We start from the raw sequence: 16,527 nt of genomic DNA on the forward strand, positions 1-16,527 counted from the left end.
GTCCAAGTCCCAAAGCTGAAGAACTTGGTGTCCAATGTTCGAGGGCAGGAAGCATCCAGCATGGGAGAAAGATGTAGGCTGGTAGTCTAGGCCAGTCTAGTCTTTTCATGTATTTCTGCCTACTTTATATGCTGGCCTCGCTGGCAGCTGATTAGATGGTGCCCACCCAGATTAAGGGGGGGGTCTGCCTTTCCCAGCCCACTGACTCAAATGTTGATCTCTTTTGGCAGCACCTTTACAGACACACCCAGGATCAATACGTTGCATCCTTCAATCCAATCAAGTTGACACATTAATAAAAATCCCAGAGCACACTGAGCATTGAATACTTTCTCTTTAAATTTAACGACTGTTACTGGTGGGAAGTATTATTGTATTGATCCAGAAATAAAGGCTCAGAGAAATGAAATGATGTTTTTGAGGTAACAGCTGTCAAGTGTCCGTTTCAAGTGTTTGGAGCTAGGGACTTCTGGTGACTGTGTTAACACAGGATGGGAAGCCTTCAACATGGGCCAGGCACCTAGCTGGACCTAGCTGTTAACCATCACAACTCCATCCCTTGTCAACTTGAACCCATACACATCTCCTGAGATCATACATAATCTTCAAATAAAGACAATAAGGTCATAATTATGCTTAACATAATACAAGTATCGTTCATGCAACCGAAACACACTAATCCCCAACCCAAGTGCTATTACATAAAGGTAGCAATACTTAAATGCTGATATGAAGTCAGTAAATCTTACGTCACATGATAAAGGAAATAAAATGCAGATGTTTTCTTAGTACAAGTGTATACATCACAAACATGTTTTTAATAAAAGAAGGAGGAAATACAACAATTACAGTCCTCATTTCTGCAACTGGTCACTTGGTCGTAGTTGGTATTAATGACTACCTTCTTCTCCTGCACATTCTGTATTCACTTTGCCTTCAGCAAGCACCTCAGCAGGTCATGGTTTTTTTTCCTGGTGGAGTGACCCAAACCTTCATTCCTGAAGGGTCTGGGCCATTTGTAGTCCTGCCTGGATTGGGCTGTTGTAGCTTCCCATTGACCTTAATCACAGGGCATGGTAATACTAAGAGATGCCCTAATGGATCTTCTGTATTCCATGCATACTCTTCCTTACCTCCATTGTGGAGTAGTAGACTGATTTCATCTTGATAGTCTGGGTCATTCATCCCAGCCAACACTGTAACTCCCTTCTTAGGCTATTGACTTAAAGGTAGGAGGAGCCCAAAGTGTCCAGGTGGCAATCTTAACTTCCAGTTTAATGGAATCGTTGTGTCTCCTGGTGGCAGCATTCCTCCCTCTGAAACTAAGACTTCTAGGCCAACGGAATGTAATGTCGCGGGAATAGGAAGCAAAATTTTGCTAGTTGATCACTAGGGATGATGTTGAGTGGTGCCATTTGCACTTCCACCCCTTGATTCCTGGACCCATGAATCCTGGCTATGGGAGAAACAGTACCATATATTGGATGCTAATTCAGAGCATACATGGCCTACTGGAGAACTTTGCCCCAGCCCTGCAAAGTATTGTCACTAGTTGGAGTAATTATGACTACAAAAGGTCATTCCACCATTCTGTCAATCCAGTTGCTTCAGGACTATGGGGAACATGGTAAGATCAGTGAATTCTGTGAGCATGAGCCCACTGCTACACTTCTTTAGCCATAAAGTGAGTGCCTTGGTCAGAGGCAATGCTGTGTGGAATACCATTACGATGGATAAAGCATTCCATGAGTCCGTGAATGGTAGTCTTGGCAGAAGCACTGCGTGCAGGATAAGCAAACCCATATCCAGAGTAAGTGTCTATTCTAGTGAGGACAGACCTCTGCCCTTTCCATGATGGAAGAGGTCCAATATAATCAACCTGCCGCCAGGTAGCTGGCTGATCACCCCGAGGGATGGTTCCATATTGAGGGCTCAGTGTTGGTCTCTGCTGCTGGCAGATTGGGCACTCAGCAGTGGCTGTAGCCAGGTCAGCCTTGGTAAGTGGAAGTCCATGTTGCTGAGCCCATGCGCAACCTCCATCCCTGCCACTATGACCATTTTGTTCATGGGCCCATTGCACGATGACAGGGGTGGCTGGGGAAAGAGGCTGAGTGGTGTCCACAGAACAGGTCATCCTATACACTTGATTATTAAAACCTTTCTCTGCTGAGGTCTTCCATTGGTGAGCACTCACATGGGATACAGATATCTTCACAGTTTTTGACCACTCAGGTCCATCCACATCCCTCTTCCCCAGATTTCTTTGTCACCAACTTTCCAGTCATCCTTCTTCGAAGTCCCTGACCATCCAGCCAAACCATTGGCTACAGCCCATGAATCAGTATATAATTACACATCTTCTCATTTCTCCTTCCATGGAAAGTGCACAGCGAGGTGCACTGCTCCAAGTTCTGCCCACTGGGAAATTTCCCTTCGCCACTCTCCTTCAGGGATGTCCTAGAAAGGGGCTGTAGTGCTGCAGCTATCCACTTTCAGGTGGTTCCTGCATATCATACAGAACCATCTGTGAACCAGGCCCTAGTCTTCTCTTCCTCCGTCAACCGATCATAGGGAACTTCCCATGAGGCCATCGGTGCAGGCTGGGGGAGAGAAGGTGGGGTGGCAGGAGTGGAGTCTGTGGGCATTTGAGCCACTTCCTCATGTAACTTGTGCCTTCAGGATCCGCTTGAGCCCAATCACATATATACCACTTTCATCTGATGATGGAATGCTGCTGTGCGTGACCCACTTGATGGCTAGCTGGGTCAGAAAGCACCCAGTTCATGGTAGGCAGTTCAGGTTGCATGGTGATTTGATGACCCATAGTGTAACAGGCCAAGAGCTGTCTCTCAAAAGGAGAGTAGTTATCTGCAGAAGATGGCAGGGCCTTGCTCCAAAATCCTAGAGGCCTTCGCTGTGATTCACCTATGGGGGCCTGCCAAAGGCTCCAAACAGCATCCCTATCTGCCACTGACACCTCAAGCACCATTGGATCTGCTGGGTCTTAGGGGCCAAGTGGCAGAGCAGCTTGCACAGCAGCCTAGACCTGCCTGTTGCAGAGCCTTCTCCTGTTCTGGATCCCACTCAAAACTGGCAGCCATTTGGGTCACTCGATAAATGGGCTGGAGTGGCATACCCAAATGAGGAATGTGTTGCCTCCAAAAACCAAATAGGCCCACTAGGCATTGTGCCTCTTTCTTGATTGTAGGAGGGACCAAATGCAGCAACTTACTCTTCACCTTAGAAGGCATATCTTGACAGGCCACACACCACTGGACCCCTAGAAATTTTACTGAGGTAGAAGGTCCCTAAATTTTAGTCAGATTTATTTCCCATCCTCTGGCACACAGATGTCTTACCAGTAAGTCCAGTGTGTTTGCTACTTCTTGCTACTGGATCCAGTCGGCATAATGTCATAAATGTAATGGACCAATGTGATATCTTGTGGAAGCAAAAAGCGATCAAGGTCTCTCTGAATAAGATTACGACACAAAGTCGGAGAGTTGATAGGCCCCTAGGGTAGGACCGTGAAGGTATATTGCTGGCCTTGCCAGCTGAAGGCAAATTGCTTCTGGTGGGCCTTATGGACAGGAATGGAGAAAAAGGCATTTGCCAAGTCAGCGGCTGCATACCAGGTACCAGGAGATGTGTTAATTTGCTCAAGCAATGAAACCACATCTGGTATAGCAGCTGCAATTGGAGCAACCACCTGGTTAAGCTTTCTATAATTCACAGTCATTCTCTAAGATCCGTCTGTCTTCTGCTCAGGCCAGATGGGAGAGTTGAATGGGGATGTGGTGGGAATCACCACCCCTGCATCATTCAAGTCCTTGATGGTGGCACTAATCTCCACAGTCCCTCCAGGGATGTGATACTGTTTTTGATTTACTATTTTTCTAGGTAGAGGTGGCTCTAATGGCTTCCATTTGGCCTTTCCCACCTTAATAGCCTTCACCCTAACAGGGAGCCAGTGTGGGGGTTCTGCCAGCTGCTAAGTATGTCTGTGCCTATTACGCATTCTGGCACTGGGAAAATGACCACAGGTTGAGTCTGGGGACCCACTGGACCCACTGTAAGTCAGGCCTGAGCTAAAACTCCTGACCTCCATAAGCCCCTACTTTAACTGGAGGACCACAATGATGTTTTGGGTCCCCTGGAATCAGCGTCAGCTCGGAGCCAGTGTCCTGTAGTCCCCGAAATGTCTGATCATTTCCCTTTCCCCAGTGCACAGTTACCCTGGTAAAAAGCCAGAGGTCTCCTTAGGGAAGGATGAGAGAAAGATTAACAGCATAAATTGTCAGTAGTGTAGTGGGGTCCTTCCTCAAGGGACCTGGCCTCCCCTTCATTCAAGGGGTTCTGGGTCTGTAAACTAGCCCAAGTCTGGAAATTGAAGGGCCATGATTCTGTTTTTGTAATTCAAATTAGTCTTTTGTCCATTCGACCTGGAAGTTTTCTGCTTATATAAATTAAATAGGATTGCAGTAGGCTTCCTATCAGTTTCATTTCTGGGAACACTGTGATTAATTAGCCAACGCCAGAGATCTACATGAGTCAGACTATTCTGATTGCTGCTTTGTCTCTGTTGTCCATTATGATAGCTATGCCTACCTTGCCTTTGATGGTTGAGTGCCACCACTTGGCCCCTGCCACCTCGGGATCCAATTATTCCCAATGTATTAAATTTTTGTAGGTGAGTGACTGAAATTCCAACTGCTGGATCTGGCAATTACAGGGCTCTTCAAAGATGCAGGTGCTGCCCTCGCAAATCTATTTTGCAAGCCATTGGTTAAGGTTATGTCTTATGGACCCTCCCAGCTGGGATGAGTAGGTCTAAAGTGACTAATCTACTCCATCATCCCAATCTCCCTAAGCCTTTGGATCCCTTCCTCTACATTAGACCAAGGGAGATCAAGCATTCCCAGCTCACCCATGATGGGCCATCTTTTAATCCATATTTCAGCTAGCCAAGCAAATAAGCTATTGGAACCTTTTTTAACTCCTCAGGCTGCAACATTAAATGCAGGATCCCTAATTAGTGAGCCCAAATCAATAAATTCAGCCTGATGCATCTGTATGTTCCTTCCAGCATTATCCCACACCCTTAATATCCATTCCCGTGCCTGTTCTCCAAATTTCTGCTTATATAAATTAGAAAACTCAATTCAAGTGTAGCTCACCTCCCCATGGGTCACACTCTGAACCTCACTTCTGTGGGCCCATCGGGACTTTAGTTATAGGTCTAGAAGCAAACAAAGGTGTTGAGGGTGCTAGAGGAGAATCGATATTATCTTGCCTGGCAACTGCCTCAGGGGAGGCCATCACTGTTGCCTCAGGCAGCACAGGGTTTATCTCCTCAGACAAAGGTGGAAAGGCTGATGGCAGCATGGGTCGGGGAGAGGATGTTGCCACTATTGGGGATGCCATTTTCCTTTCTCTTTCTTCTGCCTATTAAACCTCCACTCCTAAAAAAAAAAAAAGAAAAAATGATGAACTCAGGGATTCTAACTCCTGGCTTCAGAAGCAGATACTAAGCCTCAAATCTGCTAAGATTGCCCTGAGTGAGTCTTATCTCCTGTAGAGAAAAAGCTGAAATTGTAGAAAAACAGACATAAGCTAGTCATGTGAGTGGCTGACCTGCAACAAAAGGTGCATGCACAGCCTCACCAGGTGTCTACTGTTAAAGTGAGGGCACTGATTGGAAAAGAATGGGACCCTGAAACTTGGAATAGGGATGTGTGGGAGAACCCTGATGAAGCTGGGGACACTGAGCTTGTAAACTCTGATGAACCTTTTTTGCCATCCCCCAAATGCCATCCCAGCGCTTTGGGAGGCCAAGATGGGAGGATCACTTGAGCCTAGAAGTTTGAGACAAAGCCTGGGCAACATAGTGAGACCCTGTCTCTAAAATAAATTGAAAAAAAAAAAAGCCACTCAGTACCCTGTTTTACTCCCCCACCCCACCCCGACCTTTGGGTCTTGTCTTTTTCTTTGTCTTTGTCTCTTGTCTCTTGTGTCTTGTGTCTTGTCTTGTCTTGTCTTGTCTTGTCTTGTCTTGTCTTTTCTCTTTTCCTTTTCTTTCGTTTTCTTTTCTTTTCTTTTTCTGTCTTGCTGTCTTGCCCAGGTTGGAATACAGTGGCACAATCTCGGCTCACTGCCTTTGCCTCCTAGGTTCAAGCAATTCTCATGCCTCAGCCACTTAAGTAGCTGGGACTACAGGTGTGTGCCACCACACCCAGTTCGTTTTTGTATTTTTATTAAAGACGGGATTTTGCCATGTTGGCCAGGCTCGCCTCGAACTCCTGAGCTGAAGTGATCCATCCGCCTCAGCCTCCCAAAGTGCTGGGATTACAGGCGTGAGCCACCACACCCACCCTTTACTTTTTATAATAAAATTTTTTTTATACATTTGTTATATATGTGCTATATATAATTACCATATATGATTTGTTATAAACATTAGTATATAAATGCTGGATTTCTAATTGGATCAAATTATGGACATTGTTTTAATTTACTTATTGTATGTGTATATATATACAACTTATTTATGTGAAGATATTTATATATATAGTTTTTAAGACTAAATAAGGGTGGTATTGTGTTTGCTAGGCCTGGCATTTGTATGGTACATAAGGTTTAAAAGTTCACTTTCTTTTTTCTGCCCCTTGGGTTTGTAGCTGCCTTTTTCTTTTTTTCGTTATTTCTCTCTTTGTGTTTTAGGCTTTTGGCATCCAGAAGTAGTGGATCTTAGTTTCTGTCCCTGGGTAGTAAAAAGAAGCTGGGGAGAGGAAGAGGTTTGATGCCTCCAGGCAGCTGCCTCTCCCTGGTACAGCCTCTGTCCCAAGTGTAATCAGTCCCCCGCTAAATGACTAGTCTCTTACAGGATGGGAAGAGAGAATAAATAACTCAGTTAAGCAGCCCACCAGTGACTTTGGTGTTGGCTTGGTTGATTGGACTTGTATCCCAACACAATCCATCAGAGGAAGTCTCTACTCACTACCTTTTGTGAGGAGCCTCAGCCTTGTATATTACCCCGTAAACCAACCCAGAAACTAGGTGTGTTTATGTTGGAAAAGTAGACTAAGGAGATCAGTCTGTCCCAGAACGGTGCCAGCTGGGGAATTACTGCCCTTGCGTATCTAGACTGTGGCATCTTTAAACACTGGAAGGATCTGAGGAGCACTCCTTTAGGATTCCTACAGCACTTTAGGCCAGAAACCCATGGCAGCAAATGCCAGACGCAGCTGAAGCACAAGGCTGCCAGCATCTCGCAGCCTTCCCCGGGCAGAACTTTCTGTGTGGTACAATCCCTTAGTGAGCTGATCTTCAGCCTTCCCATGAGCGCAGAGTCAGCCTGCTGGGTGCACCAGTTGTATTAATTTGTATCTATGGGCCAAGTGTGGTAGCTCATGCCTGTAGTCCCAGCAGTATGGGAGGCAAGAGGGTTGCTTGAGCCCAGGAGTTTGAGACCAGCCTGAGCAATAAAGTGAGACCCAGCCTCTACAAAAAAAATCAAAAAAATTATCTGGGCGTGGTGGCACATGCCTGTAGTCCCAGCTACTCCTAAGGCTGAGATAGGGAAGATTGCCTGAGCCTGGGAGGTAGAGGCTGCAGTGAGCCATGATCACACCACTGCACTCCAGCCTGGGCGACAGAGTGAGACCCTGTCTCAAAAAAAAGCAAATTTGTACCCATGGGATTTTAATTTATAGCAGTGACTTAGTGATGACACAGAGAGGTTAATAACATTGAAAGAAGAATTCATTATTTACAATTCGTGAAAGAAGAGGGCATATGCTGGGCCTCATGGGGATACAGCTGGAAGCACAGGGGAGGAGAAAGCCTTTAACTGGGTGTGGTATTCTGATACATACTGGTTTTTGTCCACCGTTCCTGATTCATAACCCCTATAGCCCTTTTGTTAAAATGCTGGGTATGTTAGGCCTCAGGGTCAGGCCTCTGACCTCCTGCCCTCCTTTCGCTCTAACGTTCCTCCACCTTTCTGACTGTGGGTCTCATGAGTGGGTCCAACCCTATACCCTGGGAAAGGAATGTTGATGTTTTGAAGCTTCCATAAAGACTCCAAGAGGTCACAGTTGAGTGAGCTTCCAGGTGGTCCCCCCAGGAAGGGCATGGAAGCTCTGTGCCCCTTCCGCCACACCTTGCCCTAGGAGTCTCTTCATCTGTATCCTTTGCAATATTCTTTATAATACACTGGTAAACATGAGTGTTTCCTTGAGTTCCGTGAGCTGCTCCAGCAAATTAGTTGAACCCAAAGAGGGGGTCGCGGGAACCCCAACTCAAAGCCCATTAGTCAGACATTTTGGAGGCCTGGACTTGTGACTGGAGTGCAGGGTGGGGCAGTCTTGTGGACTCAGCCCTCAACCTGTGGGATCCGAAGCTATCCCTGCGTGGATAGTATGGGAACAGAATTAGAGGACACCCCCCACTGGTGTCTGCTGCTTGGAGTTTGGGGAAAACCCCCCACACATTTGGTCATAGAAGTCTTGTTCTGTATTGTCATGGTGTGAGAGTAGAGAAAAAACATGATTAGAGAGAGTTTTCCCTGCGTATTGGGTTTCTTCTGGAAAAGCAAGACAGGGCATGGTAAACAGTTTAGAGCTGGCTAGTTTGAGTAATTTCAGTGAGGTTTGGGGCATAGGGACTATCTCTAGTTGTCTGGCACTTGGCCCTGGGTTGATTTAGGGCAGGGGAAATACTGGCTTGGTATGTGAGAGTTTGTTAAAGAAGTGGTTGGGGGTATGGTTTGGGGTTAGGTGGATTGCACATGAAAGGCATGTGCTTGTTCCCAGGGGAGTTTATTATCCTAGAAATTACCTGTCCCTGAGAGGAGCAGTCTCTCCCAAAGTCTGAAAAGGCTTCAAGATGTTCTGAGCAACGTCAAGAAAATATGACTACTGTATTTTCATCTGACATGAACCTAAACTTACTCGGTTTAGAAGATAAACCTTCATCTATGAAGCTGTCCTTTGAGGGTTTTTTGTTGTTCTTGTTGTTGTTTTTTGTTTTTTAAAGTAGAAGTCCTCTTTTTATGAAATGTTGGTGAGAGTAGATACTATTTGATGTTTCTGTAAATGTCCTTATTTAACTCTATCACAGTAGAACGTTCAGTTTTTTAAATTTTTAATGGTTCATGAAATGCAGAGGTCTGGAATCACTGAACCTGCCCCTCCCCCTGGCTGCTGGTCCCTGAGGATGACCTCCAGCTCACATCTCTGCATCGTCATCACTACCCACCACCCACTCTGTGGTGCTAGTAATTTCCTCCTTAGTGTGGTGTTTGGAAGGGGAGCCCGAACCCTGGTGTCCAGCCCCAGCTCTGCTCTTTAAAAACTGTGTGGCCATGGCCAGGCGCGGTTGCTTACGCCTGTAATCCCAGCACTTTGGGAGGCCGAGGTGAGCAGATCATGAGGTCAGGAGATCGAGACCATCCTGGCTAACACAGTGAAACCCTGTCTCTACTGAAAATCCAAAAAAATTAGCCAGGTGTGGTGGCAGGCGCCTGTAGTCCCAGCTCCTCGGGAGGCTGAGGCAGGAGAATGGTGTGAACCCGGGCTGAGGCAGGAGAATGGCGTGAACCCGGGAGGCGGAGCTTGCAGTGAGCCGAGTTCACACGCCACTGCACTCCAGCCTGGGCGACAGAGCGAGACTCCGTCTCAAAAAAAAAAAAAAAAAACTGTGTGGCCTTGGTCAAATGACTGACCTTGTCTGTTCCTCAGTGTTCTCATTGGTGAGATGAGGATTTACCACATCTGCATCCCAGGGTTGTTACTGGGGTAAAGGGTTATTGATAGGGTTTGGCTCTGTGTCCCCACCCATATCTCACCTTGAATTGTAATAATCCCCATGTGTCGTGGGAGGTAATTGAATCATGGGGACGGGTTTTTCCCATGGTGTTGTCGTGATAGCACATAAGTCTCATGAGATCCGATGGTTTTATAAAGGGGGGTTCCCCTACGCATGCCCTCTTGCCTGCTGCCATGTAAGATGTGCCTTTCTCCGCCTTGTGTCATGATTGTGAGGCCTCCCTAGCCATGTGAAACTGAGTCCCTTAAACCTCTTTCTCTTTATAAATTACCCAGTCTCGGATATGTCTTTATTAGCAGCGTGAGAACAGACTAATAAAGTTATTACGTGAAAAGGGCTCAAAACAGCACCTGGGAGACCACGCTGTGTGCAGGGAGCCATTGCAATCCTGTTGCCATCAGTACTGTTATTGTCATCCTCATCAAGATCACTGTCGTTGGCATACCTGGACCCGGGACTTTCTGGGTAGCGTTGTGGAGCTTTGTGGTTAAACAGCACCGACAGCAGAGATGGCAGGACCTGGGCCTTACTGACTCAGCCATTCACCAGTTCTGTGCTCTTCAGCAAATCACTTTACTTCCTGATCCTGGGTTTCTTTGTCAATAAAATGGTGTTGATCACGATGTGGACTTCCTGGGGATGCTGTGAGAAAATCCTCAGCTGGAATCCTCATTTTTTCTTTAGTCTAGAGGAAGAGCATTATAAAACATTGCTTAGGATGTAAAAAAAATAAGACTTAGATCAATGAAATCACATACCTTGTTTGGAATGAAAAGAGTCAATATTTAATATTTAAATACATCAGTTTTTCTCTAAGATACTCTATCAGTATTCACTTTTGGAATTACATAATGCATTTATGTAATTATGGAAACCTTGGTTTCCAGGTCACATGCCAGCTTTTCATTCCCATGCACAGGAGCAGCTTCACTCCAAGGTCTGGTCTCCATCCTGAAGTCCCAAACTAGATTGAAGGTCTTTATTTCTTTTCACCCACATCCATGTGTCCACTTGCTTTCTCCATAAACAGGGTGTCCTGTTCCCAAAGCTGAGCTGATCTGCCACCTAGAGCATGGGCAGGAGCCATGGACCAGGAAGGAAGACCTCTCCCAAGACACCTGTCCAGGTAGGAGCCAAGATCTGGGCAGGTTGGAGTCCCTTCTGGCTTAAGACTGGATGGAGACCACTGGCCCTGGAATCTCTTGGGAAGCTTCTCATTGTGGCCTCTCTCTATATAACTCTTATATAACTCTATCACACTAGAATGTTCCATTTGAGAGCCATGGAGCCCTTTGACCTGTGTTTTCTCTGTCCTCCTAGCCCCATCACAGTGTCACCATGCCTGGGAAGAAGTGAGATTTAAGAACTAAGATGTGTTCAGGGGTTCCAACTGTGTGGGCCTGAAATGTGGCTTGCCAGTCACCTGCTGTGTGGCCCTGATGAAGTTGCAGGATCTCCTGTCTTTGTATATAACTTCAGCTAAGTTAACAGTAGCTGCTGTATCAGACAGATTCTAAAATCTCAGTGGTTCACATATGAAAACTCTTTCCCACTCATACCAGGGACTGTGTGGGTCAGCGAGGAGCTCTGTACGACACAGTTATTCAGGACCCAGGTTCCTTCTGTCATCAGCCTGTTGCATTAAGATTATCCTAACGTCCTCGAGCTGGCAGAGAATTGAGGGAATAAGGGAAGTTAAACCCACTTCCAGAAATACCAACTCCCCTCACATTCCACCCACAGGAACTAGGCATTTGGCTTGGGTCCATGGGACTGGGAAATGTGGCTGAGCTGCTTGTCCAAGGAGAAGAGCAGAAGGTTTGGTGAGCACCTACTCTCAGTCCACTACATTGAGTCTGTTCCTGAAAAGTGTTATTAGAAATCTTTTTTTTTTTGAGACGGAGTCTCGCTCTGTCACCCAGGCTGGAGTGCAGTGGCACAGTCTCGGCTCACTGCAAGCTCCGCCTCCCGGGTTCACGCCATTCTCCTGCCTCAGCCTCCCGAGTAGCTGGGACTACAGGCGCCCGCCACCACGCCCAGCTAATTTTTTTTTTTTTGTATTTTTAGTAGAGACGGGGTTTCACCGTGGTCTCGATCTCCTGACCTCGTGATCCACCCGCCTCGGCCTCCCAAAGTGCTGGGATTACAAGCGTGAGTCACCGCGCCTGGCCTAGAAATCATTTTTATGTCATTGGGCAGTTTAAAGATGTTATGTGATACATTAATGCATAAAACTGGATAGTTTCTGAGCCATAGTAAGTGACTCATCCGAATGTCATTATTAACCTTAAAGAGTGATGCTATGTTACATTTCCTTCTGAACTCTAGGGAATAGGGCCTTTCTTACTCTCCCAATTTCTCTTTCCACTTATATTCTGCCTATCAGCCTCTCCCACCTTCTCCTTCCACCCATTCCCTGAGTGTCAATCAGACACTAAGAAGCAGTAGTTTGCCCATGTCTTCCTATATCTCCTGTTTTCCAAAAACCTCAGGGTGACATTTGACCTTCTGTGTCCCACACTCAGGCTGCTGAGGGCACTGAGGCCATCTGTCATGTGTGTGGATTGGTGCCACTGCAGAGCCTTGGCCTCTGCCCGCGTGGGTTCCTTGAGCTGCTCATCCAACCCTGAGTGTCTGTGCAGTCCCTGTTCAGCCCTTCAGAGTCTGTTCCAGATTGTCCCCTCCTCAGTGCCACATCTGCACTTGAAAATCTCAAAAGCACAAAACTCAACATGCCTAACAAGGAACCCATGATCTTGCTCACTCCTGCCACCTCCCAAGTTTCTGTGAATGGTTCTGCCATCCAGGCAGATTAGGGGACTGGCCCCAACCTCAGACAAGTCAACCCCTCCACCTCCATGAGTCCCTGCATCCAGCCAAGTAGACAGTTTTTGTCTCCAGGCACAGATGTCTCAGCATGTGAGTGCTGATGTGTTAGCAGGCTTTCAGGTTGAAAAGAAAGTCTCCTGTCTTGTATTGCTTGATCAGCAGCCCTTACATGTTCATCTCAACTTCTCTTTTCCTTACTGGAAGAGGTCTTGCCCCAGTCATGGCCAATTCCTATACCAGGGTCTAGAACACACTTCCTTTCATGGACATCCTTTCTTCATTTATATTCTGCTTGTTTTGTGATTCTCTACTCAACCTAAAAATATGCTTGTTTCTTCTTTTTTCTTTTCTTTTTTTTTTTTTTTTTTTTTAGAGTCTCTCTGTGTAGCCCAGGCTGGAGTGCAGTGGTGCTATCTTGGCTCACTGCAGTCTCTGTGCCTCAGCCTCCCAAGTAGCTGGGATTACAGGTGCATGCCATTACACCCGGCTAATTTTTGTGGGTTTTTTTGTTTGCTCGCTTGTTTGTTTTTTGTTTTGTTTTGTTTTTTGAGATGGAGTTTTGCTGTTGTTGCCCAGGCGGGAGTACAATGGCGCAATCTCGGCTTACTGCAACCTCCGCCTCCCAGGTTCAAGCGATTCTCCTGCCTCAGCCTCCCGAATAGCTGGGATTATAGGTGCATGCCACCACGCCCGGCTTTTTTTGTATTTTTAATAAAAATGGGGTTTCACCATGTTGGCCAGGCTGGTCTCGAACTCCTGACCTCAGGTGATCCACCCGCCTTGGCCTTCCAAAGTGCTGGGATTACAGGTGTGAGCCACTGCGCCTGGCCATATTTTTAGTAGAGACAGGGTTTCACTGTTGTTGCCCAGGCTGGTCTGAAACCCCTGGCCTCAAGCAGTCCATCTGCTTCGGCCTCCCAAAGTGCAGGGATTACAGGCGTAAGCCACTATGCCCAGCCTCGAGTTTCTTACAATTGAAGAAAATAAAACAAATGCTTGTGGCTCATGATATATTTATATATTCATTGATACATTCATTTACTATGTGGGCATTTAATTGTCTAGATTTGGCTGGCACAGTGGCTCACACCATAATCCCAGCACTTTGGGATGCTGAGGTGGGAGGATTACTTGAGCTCAGGAGTTTGAGACCGGCCTGGGAAACATGGTGAGACCCCGTCTCTGCAAAATTAAAAAAATTAGCTGGGCATGGTGGCTCATGCCTGTGGTCCCAGCTATTCAGGAGGCTGAGGTGGGAGGATCTCTTGAGCCCAGGAGGTCGAGGCTGAAGTGATCTTATTCATGCCACTGCACTCCAGCCTGGGTGACAGTGAGCTCCTGTGTCAAAAAAATAAATAAATAAAAATAATTCATGAGAGACCATGAACCAGAGGCAAAAAAAAATTAATAATAATTTTCTATGTTTCATTCACAGAAACAGTGATACTGTGGATATTCATATATGTATTTCATTTTCCACTTGTGGAGGTGCATTTTTTGATCATTCTTGGAGTGAAATTATTGGTTTGTAGGCTATGCAAATGCTCAAGTTTGCAAGATCATTCCCTTTGTTTTCTAAAGAGCTTATGCCAATTTGCACTTAACCAGGAAAGAGAGGTTCCGTTGACCCATATCCTTTCCATTATAAGGCTTATCAATGTTTGCTCATCAAATGGACACAGAATAGTCTCGTGTTCTTGATTTCCCTTTCTTTCACTGCTGTAATGTTTTAGCAACTTACTATGATTTTTGGTTGATTTATATTTTCTTCTGTGAAAATAGAAATCATTTTTTATTTTATGATGAATGCCTATTTCCATTAACCTGTTTTCCTTTCACTGCTTGGTAGGGGTTCTTAGTACATTCTTATCCTTACCTTTTATCACTTATATATGCTGAAAAATATTTTCTAGTTTTTAATTTTGTTCTCTTACTCTCTTTAAAGTATCTTTCTCCAAAAGGTCTTAATTTACTGTAGTCTAACTTATGACTTTTCTTATATAATTAATGATTTTTTTGTCTTGTATAAAAAATGTTGGTTTACCTCAATATTAAAAATATATTTTATTCTAAAAGTTTTAAAACTTGGCATTTGACATTTTTTCAGTGAGGTTGATTTGGAATATATAGTGTGATAGCAATGCAGTTATTTTCGTTCTCCATGTGGCTACCCAATTTTTCTAGCTTCGTTTCCTTAATTTAACAGACCATCAAGTTCCATAGTTAAGTATAGTTGGTATTTTACAGGGAATTATATTGAATTTATATAATTTGGGTCGAATTGTCAGTTCGTATTATTAAATTCTTCATTGATCTAGATCATCTTTATTGTCTTCAAATAAGATTTTATAATTTTCTTCATCTTGATCATGTGTATTTGGGGTTTTTTGTTTGTTTTAAGAGAAAAGGTCTTGCTCTGTTGCCCAAGCTGGGTGCAGTGGCACAGTCATACTTTGCTGCAGTCTTGAATTTTGCGGCTGAAGCAATCCTCCCATGTCAGCCTCCCGAGTAGTTGGGACTACACAGGCTTGCACCACCATGCCTGGCTAATGTGTTTTTAGTTTTGTTTTTAAAAAATTTTTTTTAGAGATGGGAGCTTGCCGTGTTTCTCAGAGTGGTCTAAAACTTCTGGGCTCGAGTAATCTGCTCACCTCGGCCTCCCAAAGCACTAGGATTACAGGCTTTGGGGGGCTGAGGTGAAAAGATGAGCACCATACACAGCAGCCTGGCCATTGGTCATGTGTATGGTGCTAATCTTTTCACCAGGCTGTTCCTCAGGCATACAAGACTCATTGTGTCAAGCCAGGTCCTCTTACCTCTTTCCTTATGAGCCTTCAATTGATATAACATCAGTCATATCACCTTCACTGTCACCCAGCTCGGAATCATGGGAATCAGCCTCCCCTCTGTCCCTGGATTGTCATCAACACCATCCTGCAGTTTCTTTGTACTTTCTGTCTCTTTAGACTACAGTGTCCAGTGTCCTTCCTGCTTTCTCTTTATGGCAACTCTTCTTCACAAGCATAGGACTCACTTCATTGAGCACCTCTTACTGGAAAACTGATTTCTTCCTACCCAGGATTAGCCAAGCTCAAGGTTAAGGACACAGTCCTCTAAGACTACCAGGTCTAACTCTTCCGACACGGACTACAGGTTTGGGTCCCAAAGCCGTTGTCAGGTTCACTAATTAGCTTTAGACTCACAAAATTCTCTAAAACCTGTTTTAGTTACAGTCATGTTTATTACAGACAAAGGGAACAAATTAGAAGTGACACAGAATGTTGGGTTGGAAAGGTTCCCAACACAAAGCCTCAGTGTTTTCAGGAACTCGCTGTGCCCCAGTCTGGCATATGGCAATATGAGCTTAGAATGTTGCCAACCCAGGAAACTCACCAGCTCTTCATTGTCCAGAATTGTACTGAAGCTTCATTACATAACCACAGTTGATTGTCTCATCACCTGTGTGGCTCGGTCTCCAGCGTGCCATCCTTTCCAGAGATTCAGCATTTAAATTATGACATAAGCCCTAACCTTCTAATCACGTGGTTTAGCTTTCTGGAGTGGCCAGACCTTAACCTGAGTCATCTCTTCAGGATAAACTGTGGAGGACTCCATAGTGAGTTCCCCGTTTGCATAAACTGTCAGATAGGGCCATTGGGTCCCACCATAAGTAAAAACATTTTGGAACTACTCAGTGTTTACAGGTTACTTTCCATGACTTCACAGGAAAAGCGTACTTCTCTTTGGGGATTAATTTTTGTTACTCACTTCCTGTCTTCCATGTGGGCTCATTAGGTGCTCCTTCCTCGTGTTCTTGTAGCAACACAGCATGTCCTTGCTTAGTTGCTTACAGGAAGCTTACCATGCACG

General features: G+C 45.4%; 1 protein-coding gene across 3 annotated transcripts in view; it reads left to right on the plus strand.

The window, feature by feature from the left end:
• Window positions 1–16,527, plus strand: part of ZNF264 (zinc finger protein 264) — a 31,347-nt gene that overhangs the window by 3,039 nt on the left and 11,781 nt on the right. For 2 of the 3 annotated variants that reach the window (NM_003417.5, XM_047439724.1), the window contains one exon: window positions 10,859–10,954. The exons of the other annotated variant lie outside the window; for it this stretch is intronic. In NM_003417.5, coding sequence (NP_003408.1) covers window positions 10,859–10,954 — 96 coding nt within the window. The remainder of the gene's footprint in view (window positions 1–10,858; window positions 10,955–16,527) is intronic. 3 annotated transcript variants of the gene reach the window in all.

Source organism: Homo sapiens, chromosome 19 (genome assembly GCF_000001405.40).
Source record: "Homo sapiens chromosome 19, GRCh38.p14 Primary Assembly".
In the NCBI taxonomy this organism is placed as follows: Eukaryota; Metazoa; Chordata; class Mammalia; order Primates; family Hominidae; genus Homo; species Homo sapiens.